Genomic DNA, 18,631 nt, shown 5'->3' on the forward strand with positions numbered 1-18,631 from the left:
ATTTAACTGCAAATAAAGTGAAAATTACTGTCCAAACCAGCTTCCTAAGGTAAGTAATAAAATCAGTAAGTATGAAATCCATTCTGGAATTATGTTCCATAGAAACAACTTCAAAAACAGACATATAGGTCAGGCACGGTAGCTCACACCTGTAATACCAGCACTATGAGAGGCCAAGGCAGGTGGATCACTCGAGGTCGAGTTTGAGACCAGCCTGGCCAACATGGTGAAACCCTGTCTCTACCCCGAAAAATACAAAAATTAGCCGGGCGTGGTGGCAGGTGCTTGTAATCTCAGCTACTTGGGAGGCTGAGGCAGGAGAATGGCTTGAGCCCGGGAGGCAGAGGTTGCAGTGAGCTGAGAATGCGCCACTGCACTCCAGCCCGGGTGACAGAGTGAGACTCTGTCTCAAAAAACAAAACAAAACAAAACAAAAACAGACACACACTGTTAAATTATAAAAGCTTATGACAAACAAATAAAGGCTCACAGCTATTGGTATAAACACTGAAAACAAATGTTCAGAGGGAGATAGATGATTGTGCTGTTTCATAGACACAGGACAGTATGTCATGAAAGGGCACCCAAACCCCCAAGCATCCAGAGGTCTCTCATTCAGAAGCCTCTTTCAACTCAGCTTCTACCTTACCTGTTGTAAGACACACCAAAAGCACTGTCACTTAGAAACACATGATTGGTAGCCAGGGCTTTGGGTATGTCAGACCTGGGTTCAAATCCCAGCTTTGCAATTTTCTAGGGGAGTAATCTGACAAACCTCAATTCTCTTATCTGTAAAGTAAAATGGAGATCATCACCAACTAGTTAATGTTAGTAAATAAAAGCACAGCGTCCACAAAAGTAAAATGAAGAATTGTCTAAATAAGAAAATTTAAAATCCCAAAGTCAAATACTCCAGCACAGTGAAAAGAACCCAAAGGAAATCCACTCTAACAAACACAGAGCTGGAAAGGGACCCTGAATTCCAAGTTTTGGTTCTTCTGTCACCAGCTTCAAGACCCTGGGTTTAAGATCTGCAGTACCAGGGGACTGAAAATCCCTTCTGCCTGTGACACAACACGACTAAATTACTAAGGATGCTATTTACTGTAACAGTTCCAAAACTTTCTAAAATTTTCATTTAAACGCTTTGTTTTTATATCTTTAGGTCCTGATCAGTTTTCACTATGACTGAACTGCCAGTCAGGATATATACATAAGACTGTTTCCTTAACTAACTTGTCTAAGGTCAGATTGCTAAAAAGTAGCAAAATCAGAATTCAAAACCACATCTATCTCCAAAGACCAAACTCTATGGCATGCTTCTTCCTCAAATCTTCTTCCTGACTCACCTCCTGTAACTAGCAGCTTGCCTTAGCAAAGTAAATGGAAGTCATCAGGAGTGCAGTCAGAAGTCATGGAACAGAGTCAAGTTACCTTAGTTGAGGCTTGAACTTCTAACACAGTACTCTAACCAACTTAATTAGACATTTCAGCTACTTAAAAGGAGGCTGGGATACAAACAAAAGAAAAGAAAGACAGAAAGAAAGACAAAAAGGAAGAAAGAAAAAGAGCAAGGTGCAGTGGCTCATGCCTGTAATCCCAGCACTTTGGGAGGCTGAGGCAGGCGGATTACCTGAGCTCAGGAGTTCGAGACCAGCCTGGGCAACATGGCGAAACTCTCTCTCTACAAAAAATACAAAAATTAACCAGGCGTAGTGGCACACGCCTGTAGTCCCAGCTACTTGGGGGGCTGAGGCAAGAGAATTGCTTGAATCTGGTAGGTGGAGGTTGCAGTGAGCCGAGATCGCACCATTGCACTGCAGCCTGGGCAACAGGCTTTCTTTTTGCCTCAAAAAGAAAAAGAAAAAAAAGGTAGGTAAATTCAAAAACAAACAAACAAAAAAAACTTATTAATTGGAAACAAATCCAAAAATAAAACACCTCTGAAGTTACAAGGAAATGGGGGCAGTTCATTCACGCATATTTTCAGGATTCAAAGTTGTTCAAGATGAAATATTCAGTAAAATGACTGCTAGATTATCTATAATCCATACTTGCAAACAATTAACACAAATAACTCTAAGTTATCCATAGTAGTGAATGGGGTAACAGATACACATCTGACTTTAGAAATAAAGCATATGGTCTAAATAGATAATCGAAAGTAACAGATTTCTGGTGCTTAAAGTATATCATCTATATACATTTACCCCTCAAATTACAGCTTGATTTGGGCTAATCTCAAATTAATTTCTAAGTGGTAAGAGAGATCTGGACAAATAGTCTGAGAGACCAGGATTTCTAAAAAATACAGAGTAATATAATAAAAACTGCAACTTCCTTGTATCAATAGAAAAGAACGTTTTAACACATTCTCATCAATTCCACAAAGAATAACTAAACTAGGCACAGAAAAGTAACATTTCAAGTCCTACTGCACACTAGAACCAAGTTAGCACCTTGCTGTTTCTATTAAACGATCTAGGATTAAAAACTGGTTTTGAATAATCCCATATATGGATAATCCAAAGGTAAACAGACACACACAAACTCTCATTTACAAGACTTCGTCACCAAGCACTTACAAAATACATTTCATAAGACAGAAGAGAAAATGGAGCAAGAGGTGAGGTCACCTACCACTTTAGTTCTATTGAAAGAGAGAAGTCATTATGTGCTCTCCCCAAACAGTAGGTAGCCTCCAAAAACAACACACACCCCTACACCCCCCTAATCTGGTATTGTCATTCAGTGGGGTGACCTAGGAAGGCCTTTGAAATGTGTTGTATCAGCTCAGAGGGAATTAGACCGCATACGATGCCACAAAACATCAAATAAATGTAAAACTATAAAGATAATACATCTAAAATTAAGATGTATTAATAACTAGGCATACAAGCTCTCTCTGAATACAAAGTGTGTAAGAGCTGATTTCCAAGATCCTTTGCAATTAAACGTTAGTACATGATGAAAGTTCTTAAGGCTTAGCCTCACTTGCTGCTAAGCCTGCTACCTGAGTTTCTACTAGGCTGTGACCAACTTTTGAACTTGCCACGATAGCACTAAACTACTGTTATGCATCCTACTGATAAAACTGGACATGTGGCGCTTAATACGCCAAACCAGAATCATCAATGTTTGTTAAAGAACTCTCCCGTTACTATTGTGATGTCCACTCCGGAAGATTATCTGCATCTGGTTGAGGTTTAGACAGAAGAGAAGCAGTTAACAGACACCGACTGTATACACAGCGGTCTGCCGGCACACTGCAAAAAAGCCGATACGCCTTACAGGCTCAGGAAGTTGACTAACCCAGGGAAAAGCCCCATGCCCTCCTCTATGAAAGGGAGTGTGTGGTTGGTAGAACCCAAAGTAAACACGGAAAAATTCATTCAAGAATTTCCTTAAGGCCTACCGTGAAGACGTCGGAGGCAAGTTAAGACGTTGGGGAGCAGGTAAGAGAGACCAGAGTTCAGAAACAGACCGATAATGATCTACCAGCTCCGGTGGGGAGGTCCAAGCTAGGGGAGTTTGTGCCTCCTCTGTGGAGTTGGGGAGGAAAGGTACCGGGCGGGCTCTGGTCCTCCTCCGACAGCCCTTTCCAGCAGGCCCGGGGCTGCTAAGACCCAGGCCTGGCGTTGAGCAACAGCAGCTCTCTTCCACATGGTTGCTGGAGAGCGACCCTCCGAGCTGCCCCGAGGCCATGTGGCTGCAGCCACAGGGTGCCCAAACCCGGTGCACGTTCAAGACGTGAAACCAGAGCAGAGAAGGTGCCGGAGGAAAATCCAAAGAATGGGATGTTGGGGTACAAGACTCACTTCCTTTGGGCTTTGTCCTTCTTGGCCTTGGTCCTTTTCTTTCGGGCCTGGAGCGCAAGCACTGCAGGAGAGAGGGATGGATGAAGGGCGAATGTGGAGGAAAGGAGGCGACCAAGGTGAGGGTGGAGACCCAGCAGGGGCGCCAGGCCCGGCTGCGGGGCCTGCCTCGGGGGCGGCTGCGGGCTCCGGCGAGGCGGCCGGCCGTGGGGCTGGCGGCCCACGGGGCGCAGAGCAGCGCCCGGGCGGGATGCGCCGGAGGGGTCTCAGGCCGGGTCAGGGGGCGGGCGGGTGGGGGTCTGCGTCGCCCGCCAAGGGCCGGGCCCTGGAGTGGCCCCAAGGCGCGAGCCGGCCTGGCGGGGAACAAGGGGCGGCTACGGCCGGCGCCAGAGGACGCCCGGACTGAGGGGCGCGGACCCGCAGCCCAGAGGCAGGGGGTGTGGGGCGGCGCCACCTCAGTGGAGGGGCGCCGCACGTCCGGGAACCGAACCGCGGCAGTTAAGCGAAGCTCCCGGCGCTGACCCGGGCCTCGCCCCGGCGACCATTGCCCCTCGTGGCGGAGGCCGCTCCACCGCTCACCTTTCCGCTCCATGGTGAGACCGGTAATCGCCAGGCGCCTGCGCACTCGAGTGGCGGCGACTCCCGCTCCCGCCGCGGCCCAAAACCGAGCCCGCTCACACTCCGCCCTCAGTCCCGCCCCACCCCCGCCCCACGATGCCGCGCGCTTGCGCGTTGGGCGCGGAGCCTACCACCTGCTCCCGAGGAGGGGGCGGCAAGGAGAGGGAGGGGGCGCAGCGGGGAGGAACGCCGGGGTGAACGTTGAAGGAGTGTTAGAGATCCAAGCTTGGAAACCTGGCAAGGTTAGTTTTGTTCTATTTGTTTAGAAAAGGCGCAGAGAGCGGCAGGGCTCTCTGCATGCTGCTGAGTCAGAGCTTCGGAGGCAACTGGGATCTGCCTCAGTTTCCTGGCCTGTAAAATGGATTAATCAGGCATGTCCCAGTTTCTCCTTCCCTGAGCTATTGTGAGCCCAGTTGAGATACTATTTAAAGAAAATGGAAAAAAATTACATGTGAGAAAGAAAAGGGAGTGGGAGCAACACAAAAAGACTGGAAGGAAAGAACCTGTGACCCTATTATCACTTGAAAAGTAAAAACTTCAAAAGTGAATTTTCTCTTGAAATTTCAAGTTTAAGTGAAAGCTGTAAAGGAAAGAAGGGGAAATGAGAATAAAAACGTTTAATGTTTTCTTATTCTACCACCTTCAATACATGATAAAGCTGTCTTGTTTATAAGTTTTTTTTGTTTTTATTTTCTAAGTGCATTATCTCATTTGATGTTTATGGCAACTTAAAGGCAAAATAGTTATTACTTCCATTACACAAAGACACTAAACTTAAGAGGGCCTGCCTATATGTTCAGAATCTTGGTGTACGACCCAGTTATTTAATCATGAAGCCCTTATTGTATAGCAGGCTCAGCAAAGTTTTTCTTTGGGCCGTACAGTAAATATTTAGGCTTTGTGGACCATAAGATCTCTTTCTCAGCTACTCAACTCTGCCATTGGAGCTCAAAAGCAGTCATAGAAAATATGGGCTGTGTTCCTATAAAGATTTATGTATGGACACTGAAATTTGAATTTCATATAATTTTCACGTCATAAAATGTTCTTCTATTGATTTAAACATGGTCTTTGTTAGGTTTTGAAGGGAAGGTGAGGGTTAAAGAAAGACAGAGAGAGCAGTCTTGCTCTGCTGCCTAGGCCGGAGTACAGTGGCATGATCTCGGCTCACTGCAGCCTGGACATCCAGGGCTCAAGTGATCCTCCCACCTCAGCCTCCCAAGGTGCTGGAATTACAGGTGTGAGCCACTGAGCCAGGCCCTTTTGATCTTTTTTCAACCGTTTCAACGGTTATTCTTATTTCAGATCTTAGTTTACCAACCCATGTTGTAAAGTACCGCAGCTGGACAGAGTGGAAGCTCTGAAGACCTTTGCTCTGAACAAGTAATTGAGAAGGGAAGATGAGAGGGCAATAGTACAGCACAAGTCAAGCATGGGGGCTTTGGCAGAACTTATTGAGCAAAGTAAGTAATTAAGCCCATCCAGAGAAGGCAGTTTTTGAGCTGGGTATTAGGAAATATGTAAGATTTCTATAGGTGGAGAAGGAGATGTCAGGCATTCCTGAATGAGAAAATACATTGAGCAAAAAGGCACAGACGTGGACACCTGTAGGTGGGGGCTAGGATTGGGGCTGGTAACAACTGAAGGGATGAAATGGAAGGTGAGGCTGGAAAGGCAGGTTAGCCAAATTTGAAATTTAGATAATTGATATATGTTGCATGGAACCTGAATGATAGCATGTCTGAGTATATTGCAAAAGAAGACAGTACCTGTTGGCCAAGGAAGGATGCAGCCCAGTCTATTCCCTGCTGTAAAGTTGAAAACAAAAGGAAGGTTAGGACAGACAGGGAAGCCCTAGACTCTGAGGGTTGTGTGAGTTCAGGATAACCGCGTGTGGTTTAGAAAAGACAGGGAGAGAGCTGATAGCTAGGAAAAATCCCAGAATTGGGAAAGTACTGCCCACCCCAAAGTAAACTGTTTGAGTGTAGAGACCCTGCTTAGGTTTTCCTTGATGTAAACTCAGTGCCTACACAGTGTTAGGCACTTAGTAGGTGCTCATATATTTGTCTAATAAAAGAATAAATGGGCCAGGCACAGTGGCTTATGCCTGTAATCCCAGCACTTTGGGAGGCCGAGGCGGGCAGATCACAAGGTTAAGAGATCGAGACCATCCTGGCCAACATGGTGAAACCTCATCTCTACTAAAAATACAAAAGTAGCCGGGCATGGTGGCACATGCCTGTAATCCCAGCTACTTGGGAGGCTGAGGCAGGAGAATCGCTTGAACCCGGGAGGCGGAGGTTGCAGTGAGCCGAGATTGCACCACTGCACTCCAGCCTGGGCAACAAGAGCAAAACTCCGTCTCAAAAGAAAAAAAAAAGAATAAATGATCTGCAGTTTATGAGAAATGTCAGGATGAAAGAGAGAGAAAACACTGAGAGGGACAATATTAGAGCTGTATTAAATCTGAATTGGTTATTGCAGACCCATCAAAAAGGAAATATGTTCAGCTTGGCATGATACAGTCGTACCTATCCTGACTCTGAGTAGGCTATTGCTTCTCTAAGAGCTTACTAACCATCTGTTTAATAACTCGTTTTCAGAATTTTTCCAGAGTCAATGTGAAGTTCACTGGACTGAGTTCCCAGAATTGACCATTTCTCTTTTTTTTCCATCTGTTTTTCTCTATTCCTCCATCATGCTTTGGCTCTCCACTTTTTCTAAGACCTCTATAACTGTTCATGTAAGCACGTTTGTTCATTTCCCCTATTCTACAACCATCCCCTTTTTGTGCATTTTGCTTGAAATGTAACTTTAAAAATAGTTTCTTCTCCCAAGTTTGCAGAGCTTGGCCTATTCTGGACTTTTAACTTTCCAGAATTTTTTTTTTTCTTTGACAGGGTCTCACTCTGTCACCCAGGCAGGAGCGCAGTGGCGAAATCTTTCCTCACTGCAACCCGGGCTCAAGCAATTTTTTCACCTCAGCCTCCCCAGTAGCTGGAACTACTACAGGCACATGCCACCATATCCACTTGATTTTTGTGTTTTTTATAGAGATGGGGTTTTGCCACATTGCCCAGGCTGGTTTGGAACTCCTGGGCTCAAACAATCTGCCCCCCTTAGGCTCCCCAGAAACTATTCTTAAAAGTGTTAGCAAAAAAAAAAAAAAAAAGTGTAGGCCAAGCACAGTGGCTCATGCCTGTAATCCCAACACTTAGGGAGGCAGAGGCAGGAGGATACCTTGAGCCTAAGAGTTAGAGACCTGCCTGGGCAATACAGCAAGACCCTTTTCTGCACAAAAAGGAAAAAAGAAAGACACAAAAAAAGTGGTAGCTATTCATTCTTACATGCATACCCCTTCTCCATCAGCTATTTTTTTCCTGCAAGTCCCTTTAAAAGTAGAGGTATTCGGAAACCATAACCCATCATATTTTTGGCTGCTCATGGTAGTCTCAGAATTTAATTTCTGAAAAGATCCTATCCCTTTTGAGCTAACTTACTTATTAAGACTCCCTGGAATCTTCTCTAATACTTCTTTGACATTTTAGAAATCTGAACGTCTAAAGTTGAGTTCACACGTTTCTTCATACCCAACATTGTCTGCCTTGATTATCACAAATTATTATGCTTTGTCTAAAGTTTTGATCTGACTTAAATCCAAAGCAACACATCCCTTTATGGCCTCCCCTACGTCTTGCGAGATGAAATGGACAACAGGAGAAAGTGAAAATACATGAGATGATTTATTTTGAATGAGTTAAGATTTCCAATAGCTGTCTGCATAATTGGAAAACCCCAAAAAAACTTTCTCTTACCTTTTGGATACATGGTTTTGTGAATTATATTGGGAAAATCTACATATTATAGGCCTGGGTATCAGGAAACACATGGCACATTTAAAGGCTAATTGAAGAGAATTTAATGAAGGAATAAAGGTGTTAAGGAAAACAAACAAGGGATAGTTAGACATCCAGGGACTAGCAACAGCTGGAGTTTTTACCATCTCTAGGCCTGAAGGGAGAAGAGGATGGAGGTGTTATCAGAACCCAGGGAGAGGTTTATTATTAACAATTTGCCAGGGGCCGGACGCGGTGGCTCACGCCTGTAATCCCAGCACTTTGGGAGGCCAAGACGGGTGGATCACCTGAGGTCAGGAGTTCAAGACCAGCCTGTTCAACATGATGAAACCCCGTCTCTACTAAAAATACAAAAAAAAAAAAAAAAAAATTAGCTGGGCATGGTGGCGGGCGCTTGTAATCCCAGCTACTTGGGAGACTGAGGCAGGAGAATCGCTTGAACCTGGGAGGCAGAGGTTGCAGTAAGCCGAGATTGCGCCACTGCACTCCAGCCTGGGCAACAAAAACAAAACTCTGTCTCAAAAAAAAAAAAAAAAAAGTTTTCCAGGGGCTGCCATAACAAAGTACCACAAACTGGGTAGCTTAAACAATAGAAAATTCTTGTCTCACAGGCTTAGAAGTCTGAAATCAAGGTATTGGCAGGGTTGGTTCCTTCTGAGGTCTGTGAGAGAGAATGTGTTTCAGGCCCTTCTCCTTGCCTTCTGGGTAACCATCATCTCCCTCGCCACATGCTCTTCCCTGTGCATCTGTCTCTCATTGTGTTGGGATTTCCCCTTTTTATACGGACACCAGTCATACTGCATTGGGCTTCATCCTAAAAACCTCATTTTAATTTGATTACCTCTGGAAAGACCCTGTTTCCAAGTAAGGACACATTCTGAGGTACTGGAGATTAGGACTCCAACATATCTTTTGTTGGGTGGGGGGCAAAATTCAACCCATAACAGAGCTGTAGTAAGAGAGGCCCGCCTGGCAGCAGCTGTGCCCTTTAATGAGCCCTGCAGGGAGAGGGCAGGGAAATAAAGACCCACATCTTCTCAAACGAGTGCCTCACCATTGACAAAACCCAGCTGGAAGTTAAATGGCAAGGAAGCCTGGGTGATGCAGTCCATACATGCCAGCCTCCCAGGGCATAAAGCAGGGTGGAGAAAGGTGGAGAGTGGATCTGGAGGGCCAAACAGAGAATATCCAGCATAGCCTGTCTGGGCAGTCAGACACCCAAAGCAGCTGGCATTTTCCAAGCAGGTAAATCTGCCTCTTGGGCACCCTGACCCCTGGAGAACCAATGCCACCTGGAGATGACCCCATTTCTGGCTTCATTCTATAAAAGCTTAAGTTTCACAAAGAAATTGTGCTGGGGTGAAAGATCCGGGGGCGTAGGTGGAGAAGATGAAAGAATAAAGGCCTTGGCTTGTTGGGGTGGGAATAAAGGCAGTAGCTAGGAGGGGAAGGGGATTCTCTAAGAATGAGGAGGTTAGAGATTGGTGATTCCTGAGCAGGTAGGGCCCTTGCTCTGCTCCCTGGAAGTGTTCTGGGTGGGAGCAAGGTGTTGCAAACTGACCTTAGCTGATCATGCCCAACTCTTAGCTTTTTTTGGTTGGGAGTGATGCCTGCCAGAGAAGCTTGACATGGTGAGGGTTTGCCTCCCTGGCAGGCCTACTCCCAGGACATAAAGAAAAGTTTCAGACTAAAATCTGCCACATGTAGGTTTGTTGCACACCCATTAGCAGGCAGGCACAAAACAGGTCCTATAACCTGTCCTGTAAGTTCTTTGAGGTCCCAGCTCTCTGTCCTTTTAGGTGCTCTGGCCACAGCATGAATGAAAGGTTTACTCACGGCAGGGACAACAATATCCCAGAGTCAGGACTCTCACCCTCACAGTCGGGATCAGGCAACTAGAGATGGAGTCTCCCTTATGTTTGTTATGCTGTTCCAAACCTGATTCACATCACAGGAGTTATCAGAAATGGGTTTTCACTGGTGAAAAGAGTTGCTTGTTAATTTGTGTAATGGATTTTAGAAAAGGGCTGTCATTGTCAAAATTTATGGCAGTCAATGACTCTGAATTACTTTGTTGTAGTCACTTTCTGAGTAGAATATTTACTAACCACTCTTGGAATGGAAATTGCTGATTAAAACACAAGCTGCACCTAGGTGTGTAAATAACTGGTGCCTACAAATGTCATCCTGTCTTTCCCAAAAGATTTAATATGCCCAAGTATTTTTTTTTTTTTTTTGAGATGGAGTCTTGCTCTGTCACCTAGGCTGGAGTGCAGTGGCACAATCTTGACTCACTGCAAGCTCCGCCTCCCGGGTTCATGCCATTCTCCTGCCTCAGCCTCCCGAGTAGCTGGGACTACAGGCGCCCACCACGACGCCCGGCTAATTTTTTGTATTTTTAGTAAAGACGGGGTTTCACTGTGTTAGCCAGGATCTCCTGACCTCGTGATCCACCCACCTTGGCCTCCCAAAGTGCTGGGATTACAGGCATGAGCCACGGTGCCCGGCCCCCAGGTATTTTTTTTAAGAAGTAGATTTATTTCTTTAAAATGCCAATTTAAAAAAAAAGCAATCTGGGAGTCCAAGACGAGGGGAATGTAAGAAAGTCTTACCGCACATCCCCTCTATGTGAGTTGCCAAAACAGAAACATGCTGGATCCTATCTAAGGTTCTAGAAGTCCCAGAAGAGCTTTCTTAAATATCCTTACCTAGAATATGCTTTCCTTGCCTTGATTCCAAGGATAGATGCCAAAGTATTTTAAGGTAAATTATAAATATAAGATTGGGGGCCCCTAAGAGGCTCCCAAGCCAGACAAAGATGCTCTGCTATACTTAGCATGTTCCAGGGGTCATGCAGACTTAGACAATAAAAATAATGAACTTAAGATCAAAAGTCTGACTAGGCACGGTGGCTCATGCCTGTAATCCCAGCACTTTGGAAGGCCAAGGCGGGCAGATCACCTGAGGTCAGGAGTTTGAGACCAGCCTGGCCAACATGGCAAAACCCTCTCTCTACTAAAAATACAAAAATTAGCCGGGCATGGTGGCTCATGTCTGTAATCCAAGCTACTTGGGAGGCTAAGGCAGGAGAACTGCTTGAACCTGGGAGACAGAGGTTTCAGGGAGCAGATGTCATACCACTGAACTCCAGCCTGGGTGACAGAGCGAGAATCCATCAAGATCAAAAGTCTTTACTGTTTCCTGAGCAGTGTGTAAACCTCCCAGACTCTTACGTGACCCTTGAGAGACAAGCTCTATAAGGACTGTGATTTAACTTCTCCATCATGGCAGGCTTGGGGGCACACTGAAGTCAATTTAGGAAATACATAGAAATGGACAACATGGCTTACACATTTGAGATCTGATTTCTACTGGCTATGCAATGTTAAATCCATTTTTTTGTTTCCTTCTTTCAAATACTTTCCACCATACTTACCCTCATGACAGACATTTACACTTCAGCCCTTAGGCTGTGAGAAGCAAAGAAGGAAAAAAATAGGCCTTGCTCTGTAGGATTTAATAGCTAACTCTTATATAACAATTACTGGCTGGGTGCGATGGCTCATGCCTGTAATCCCAACACTTTGGGAGGCCGAGGTGAGCAGATCACGAGGTCAGGAGTTGGAGACCAGCCTGACTAACATGGTGAAACCCCGTCTCTACTAAAAAAACAAAAATTAGCCAGGCATGGTGGCGCCCACCTGTAATCCCAGCTATACAGGAGGCTGAGGCAGGAGAATCGCTAGAACCCGGGAGGCGGAGGTTGCAGTGAGCTGAGGTCATGCCACTGCACTCGAACCTGGGTGACAGAGCGAGACTCCGTCTCAAACAAACAACAACAACAAAATTACTATTTACTAGTCACTGTTGTCCCACAACCCTGAAACCCTACAAGATAGGTACTATTCTTTTAATCTCTGACAGGAAAAAACTAAGGCACAACCAAGATCATGCAAGGTAATAAGAGGCAAGGTTTTGAATCTGGGAAGTCAGACTCTGGAATTCATACTCTCAGCCACACACTATATTACCTACCCAGTGTAGTGGGGGATGGATAGATAAGTAAGTAATTAAATACAATGTACAATGGTAGATGCAGAAGCTACCCTGGAAGCACAAGAAAAGAGGCCCCGTCAGCTCAGGATTTATAGAGAGGCAAGGAAAGAGGCATCTCTTGGATGAGTGACACCTGGACAGAGTTGGAAAGCATGAGTAGGTATCAGCTGCACACAAAAGGGAGGAAAGAAAACTCCAGTCAGAGAAAACAGCATGGTATCACAGAGGTATAAAATGTAAGGGGGCCAGGCACAGTGGCTCATGCCTGTAATCCCAGCACTTTGGGAGGCTGAGACGGGAGGATTGCTTGAGGTCAGGAGTTCAGGACCAGCCTGCGCAACAAACTGAGACCTTGTCTCTACAAAAAAAAAAAAAAAAAAAAAAAAATTTAAATAGCTGTGCATACTGGCAGGCACCTGGGGGCCCAGCTACTTGGGAGGCTGAGGCAGGAGGATTGCTTGAGCCCAGGAGGTTGTTGCAGTGACCCATAATTATGCCACTGTACTTCAGCTTGGGCGATAGAGTGAGACCCTCTCTCAAAACAAACAAAACATGTATATATATATACACACACACACACACACATATAATGCAAGCGGGGAGTGGTGAGAGATAGCTTGCCCACAAATATTTATGGGCCCCCTTCTTTTTTAGGCAGGTACTGTGTTTGGTGCTGGGGTAACAAATAGCAGGGATAGCACATCTAAGGAACTTGAACTTTCAAGCATTATGCTCCCTTACCCACTAAAATAATCTTAAAAACTAGCCCTAGGCAAAACACTCAACAAACCAGGAATGGAAAGGAATTTTCTCAACCTGATCAAGGTCATCTATGAAACACCCACAGCTAACATCATATTTAATGATGAAAGGCTGAATGCCCTCCCCCTAAGATCAGGAACCAGAGGAGGATGTCCACTCTCGCCATTCCTGTTCAGTACTGTGCTGGAGGTTCTAGCCAGAAACAATAGGCAAGAAAATTAAATAAAAGGCATACAGATTGGAAGGGAATTTGAAATTTTAAAATAAAGCTGTTATATCACAGTTTTGAATGTCATCCAATGGAATTTAAATATATATAGCAATTTGTTATGTACCATCATCCATTTATATAGAGAGATATATAAAGCAAAAGCACTCTTGGTACTATAATAAATTCTACATTACTCGTTTTTCTCCTTGAACTTGTCTTTCTATTCCATTTTGTTCTCACAGAAGTTTATCCTCTGCTAATTTTATGCTTGAAAGTCTTTTATCGATCATCCTTTCATACTTCTCTGCCACACAAATGTGCATTTATGTGGAAATTTAATTTGTAAAAACATTTCCTCGGACCATAATCCTTCGAAAAGTTCCTTACCTATTATTACAAGTATTATTATTGCATGATTAATCAAAGTAACATATAGCATCATTTTTCAATAAATGAAATTTTATTGCAAATGCATTTCAGTGTGATGGTATGTGATTTTTCTCAATGAGTCCTGCATCATTCTATTCCTTTTTTTTTTTTATTAAGAAAACTTACATAAAACAAGTAGATGGGAATGAAAAGGGGTTTGCTATAGCAATAGCATTCAGTTCTTTTGGAACTGTTTCCAAATAATGTGCCAAAAATCACACAACAATCATAGTCCAAACTCATTTTAATGACCCATCAGCTGACAATTCCAGGAGGTCCTTATTCAATTTTGTTGGAAACAAATAATTGGAAGCTACCTAACTTACAAAAAGATGTGTTACTTGGTCATTAAAGTTCCTTACTTTTTTAATCCAGACACCAGTATTTCAGTATATTCCTTCGAGTGGACCCCTGGGAGATTTATACACCCACTGGCAATGCACCTGAGATTCACTGGGGGAGGGAGAGAGGCGTTTGTTTTTGGTTGTTTGTTTGCTTGCTACTTTTGTCTGCTCCACCACACCTTGGAATGATAGCTCCATAAAGGCTGAGATGTTTGATTTTTGTTCACTGCTGTATCTCCAGGACATAGAAAGCTGTTGGATACCCTACCTACTTGATGCTTGATGAATGTATGTGGAATGTTATGAAAGAATGTAAAAACTACCTGTTTCTGGCTGTATGCTTTTGAGAGGTGACAGCGTGCTGGCAGTCCTCACAGCCCTCGCTTGCTCTCGGCGCTTCCTCTGCCTGGGCTCCCATTTTGGCGGCACTTGAGAAGCCCTTCAGCCCACCGCTGCACTGCGGGAGCCCCTTTGTGGGCCGGCCAAGACCGGAGCCGGCTCCCTCAGCTTGCAGGGAGGTGTGGAGGGAGAGGAGCGAGGGGGAACCGGGGCTGCACGCGGCGCTTTCGGGCCAGCTGGAGTTCCAGGTGGGCGTGGGCTTGGCGGGCCCTGCACTCGGAGCAGCCAGCCGGCCCTGCTGGCCCCGGACAATGAGGAGGGGCTTAGCACCCAGGCCAGCGGCTTCGGAGGGTGTACTGGTTCCCCCAGCAGTGCCAGCCCGCCGGCGCTGTGCTCGATTTCTCACCATGCCTTAGCTGTCTTCCTGCGGGGCAGGTCTCGGGACCAGCAGCCCGCCATGCCTGAGCCTCCCACCCCGTCCATGAGCTCCTGTGCCGCCCGAGCCTCCCCGATGAGTGCCGCCCCCTGCTCCAGGGCGCCCAGTCCCATCGACCACCCAAGGGCTGAGGAGTGTGGGCACACGGCACCAGACTGGCAGGCAGCTCCACCTGCAGCCCCAGTGCGGGATCCACTGGGTGAAGCCAGCTGGGCTCCTGAGTCTGGTGGGGACGTGGAGAATCTTTATATCTAGCTCAGGGATTGTAAATACACCAATTGGCACTCTGTATCTAGCTCAAGGTTTGTAAACACACCAATCAGCACCCTGTGTCTAGCTCAGGGTTTGTAAATGCACCAATCGACACTCTGTATCTAGCTACTCTGGTGGGGCCTTGGAGAACCTTTGTGTCCACACTCTGTATCTAGCTAATCTAAGTGGGGACATGGAGAACCTTTGTGTCTAGCTCAGGGATTGTAAACGCACCAATCAGCGCCCTGTCAAAACAGACCACTCGGCTCTACCAATCAGCAGGATGTGGGTGGAGCCTGATAAGAGAATAAAAGCAGGCTGCCGGAGCCAACAGTGGTAACGTGGTCGGGTCCCCTTCTGTACTGTGGAAGCTTTGTTCTTTCGCTCTTTGCAATAAATCTTGCTACTGCTCACTCTTTGGGTCCACACTGTTTTTATGAGCTGTAACACTCACCGCAAAGGTCTGCAGCTTCACTCCTGAAGCCAGCGAGACCACAAGCCCACTGGGAGGAATGAACAACTCCAGATGCGCCGCCTTAAGAGCTGCAACACTCACCGCGAAGGTCTGCAGCTTCACTCCTGAGCCAGTGAGACCACGAACCCACCAGAAGGAAGAAACTCCAAACACATCTGAACATCAGAAGGAACAAACTCCAGACGCGCCACCTTAAGAGCTGTAACACTCACGGCGAGGGTTGGCGGCTTCATTCCGGACGCACTTTGAGCGGGCAAAGAGACAGAGGCACCCAGTGCTGCACTGATTTGGGTTTCTCCGTCCAAAGGCACCAAAAGGTCACCTTTCTCCAAATCAAAGATGCAGCGTGGAGCAGAGAAAAGGCCTAATCTTTGGAATCCAACCTGGGTTTGAAGTCTGACAGTGACATTGAATAGCTGTAATTTTGGGGCAAACTCCTGGTCTTAGATTCTTCCCATGTGTAAAAAGAATAATTGGCCCTCCTTCCAGGAGAGGCAGAGGAGGAAGTGACCATGAAATATGATAATGCCCGTCAGGTATCTGCACCATTTCATGCACTCATTGGTGTGAGTTGTCCTTCATTCCAACTCTGCCTCTTTCCTCCTTGGTGGCACCACCCTTGCCTCTAACCAGCCCAGAAATTTATACTACTGGGTTCATCCTAAACCCTTGCTGCTGTAGATGCTAAGCAGCAGACAAAATGTTAGATTTAGCGGTTTTGGTGGAATCTAGGGCAGAGGGAAAATGTACCTTCATCTCCTCATTTAGAAAATGGGGGTAATAGGCTGGGTGTGGTGGCTCATGCCTGTAATCCAAGCACTTTGGGAGGCGGAGGCAGGTGGATCATCTGAGGTCAAGAGTTCGAGACCAGCCTGGCCAACATGGTGAAACCCCGTCTCTACTAAAAATACAAAAATTAGGCCCAGTGCTGTGGCTCACTCCTGTAATCCCAGAACTTTGGGAGGTTGAGGTGGGTGGATCACCTGAGGTCAGGAGTTCAAGACCAACCTGGCCAACATAATGAAACCCCGTCTCCACTAAAAATACAAAAATTAGCCAGGCATGGTGGTGCACGCCTATAATCCCAGCTACTCGGGAGGCTAAGGCAGAAGAATTGCTTGAATCAGGAGGCAGAGCTTGCAGTGAGCCGAGATCGCACCATTGCGCTCCTGCCTGGGTGACAGAGCAAGACTCCCTCTCAAAAAAAAAAAAAAAAATGGGGTAATAACAGCCCTACCTCAGGATTTTTGTGCAGGTTAATGTGTTGACTTTCATGAAGTGCTTTGAACAGAGCTTAACACACAGCCAAGGGTTGATAAATGGGTGTTATTCTATTTTGGCCTGCCTGTAGGCCGCTAATAAAAACACATGTGTTATCTAGAAGAGAGGGGGCAGCCCAGCATAATTGTGGAGTGAGAGAGTAGGAATTTTCTCAGATGCTCTGTCTCCTATGCATCCTTTATAACATGCATTGAGATCTCACAGAGGCAGATACTACAGGTGGAATGAAAACCAGTGGTCAAGTTTCAGGGGATGTAGCAGGTTAAGGGCACCGTGGGTATCTGTGACCAGAAGAGCCACATGCTTCCCTCAAGCCCCCTATCCACAGGACTTCCCCAATGCCCCCAGCAGAGGGTGAGGTAAAGTCCTGTCCTGCCTCCTCCATATCCTCACAGCCCTCTTCTCTGAAACAACTTGGTCAGTGCACCCAGCGTTATAGTCCCTGAGTTGCATGCACTCTCCCCCTCAGCCTGTGACTTCTTCCAGAGAAGGAACTCATGCTGTAAAACCCCAGACAGGCATAAGGCTGAGTACAAAGCAAGCACTCAAATATTCCTTAAGTGAAGAAATCTGGAGGTAAACTGCTGATGTCACAGGTTGGCCAAGGACAGCCTTCCCTGGGACTGGAGAGGCAGCTTCCTAAAACAATTGGAGAGGGTAAGGGAATGGCCATAGTTTCTGTCGACTCCCCTGGCAGTTTCTCAAGTTTATTAAACCTAAGGAAAGGATGCTGGAAACAAACATGTAGGTCTGGAGCTGCCTAGAGGGCTGTGTCCAGGTATGGGGAGCTGGCCCCACTTCCCAAGTTGTTTATCTTAATTTCCTTGAGAACAAGAAATGCATGTTAGGATGGGTTATTTTTCTTTTAGATTTAAACAAGGCACCTCATGATTTGCTGGATTTTTTTTAAAGTTCTATAAGACTGGGAAGGGGGAAAGGGGAATTCCTCCACTATTATGGCAAAGTCTATGCTTTACAGTAAAGCAAAAACCCCTGAATGTTAACAGAGTTTATCTGTAGGCAGGAGAGTTTATCTGTACAGGAGATTCGCTTTTCCCCTACTTTTCTGTATCTCAGAATATTTGCTCTTCAGAGAAATCTATAAGATACAGAAAAGGAGGAGAATAATACTTGCTCTTTAAGGAAATTATAGATGAGAGCCACCATTCCTGGCCACTGTAGCTTTTCTTTCTTAATTAATTTTTGAGTTGTACATATCACATTATATTGTAGTGTATTCTGTCCATCTATCTTGTTCAGATTATGGAGATCTTCAGGGTAAGTACTATCTTGAATATTTGATCCAAACATGCATGGATGAATAAGAGAATAAATGCATGGGTAGGTAAATGAATGAATGAATAAAAAGATTCAGGTATATAAAAAACTGTTTTTTAGGCCATATTCAGATAGAGAGGAGTGAGCAGTAAGTCAAAATTAATTTGTCAAGGCTTTTTTTTTCTTTGATGATACACACAAACCACTTTTTGGAGTTATCAGTCTGAAGCTGAGAGACCTCAGAACTCAGCAATATGCATTTCATCCTCAAGCTCATTCATCTCTCAGCAATTTTAGGTCGCCATCTTTTCTCTTTTCTTTTCTCTTCTCTTTTCTTTTGACCAAGTCTTGCTCTGTCGCCTAGGCTGGAGTGCCATAGTGTGAACTCAGCTCACTGCAACCTCTGCCTCTGGGGTTCAAGCGATTCTCCTACTTTAGCCTCCCGAGTAGCTGGAACTACAGGTGCGTACGTACCACC

At 45.6% G+C, this 18,631-nt stretch overlaps 1 protein-coding gene across 2 annotated transcripts in view, besides 3 other annotated features; it reads right to left on the reverse strand.

Annotated features, from left to right (window-relative positions):
- The window catches only part of SRPK1 (SRSF protein kinase 1), an 88,133-nt gene extending 83,684 nt beyond the window's left edge, over positions 1-4,449 (reverse strand). For both annotated transcript variants that reach the window (NR_034069.2, NM_003137.5), the window contains exons 1-2: positions 4,395-4,449; positions 3,819-3,879 (exon numbers count right to left, since the gene is read on the reverse strand). Coding sequence is in view for 1 of the 2 variants with exons in the window: in NM_003137.5 (NP_003128.3) it covers positions 3,819-3,879; positions 4,395-4,407 (74 nt within the window). In the remaining variant the exon portion in view is untranslated. The remainder of the gene's footprint in view (positions 1-3,818; positions 3,880-4,394) is intronic.
- Positions 4,112-4,701: a silencer, noted in NCBI's record as "silent region_17102". NCBI's record gives its function as "represses an Ori minimal core promoter by ATAC-STARR-seq in GM12878 lymphoblastoid cells {active_cell/tissue: GM12878}" and the evidence as "EXISTENCE:reporter gene assay evidence [ECO:0000049][PMID:35858748]".
- Positions 4,732-4,791: a silencer, noted in NCBI's record as "silent region_17103". NCBI's record gives its function as "represses an Ori minimal core promoter by ATAC-STARR-seq in GM12878 lymphoblastoid cells {active_cell/tissue: GM12878}" and the evidence as "EXISTENCE:reporter gene assay evidence [ECO:0000049][PMID:35858748]".
- Positions 14,713-15,363: an enhancer, noted in NCBI's record as "H3K27ac-H3K4me1 hESC enhancer chr6:35899139-35899789 (GRCh37/hg19 assembly coordinates)". NCBI's record gives its function as "activates a minimal SCP1, AML or CMV promoter by ChIP-STARR-seq in naive H9 embryonic stem cells {active_cell/tissue: H9 hESC(naive)}" and the evidence as "EXISTENCE:reporter gene assay evidence [ECO:0000049][PMID:30033119]".

This window comes from Homo sapiens, chromosome 6 (genome assembly GCF_000001405.40).
Source record: "Homo sapiens chromosome 6, GRCh38.p14 Primary Assembly".
Taxonomy (NCBI): Eukaryota; Metazoa; Chordata; class Mammalia; order Primates; family Hominidae; genus Homo; species Homo sapiens.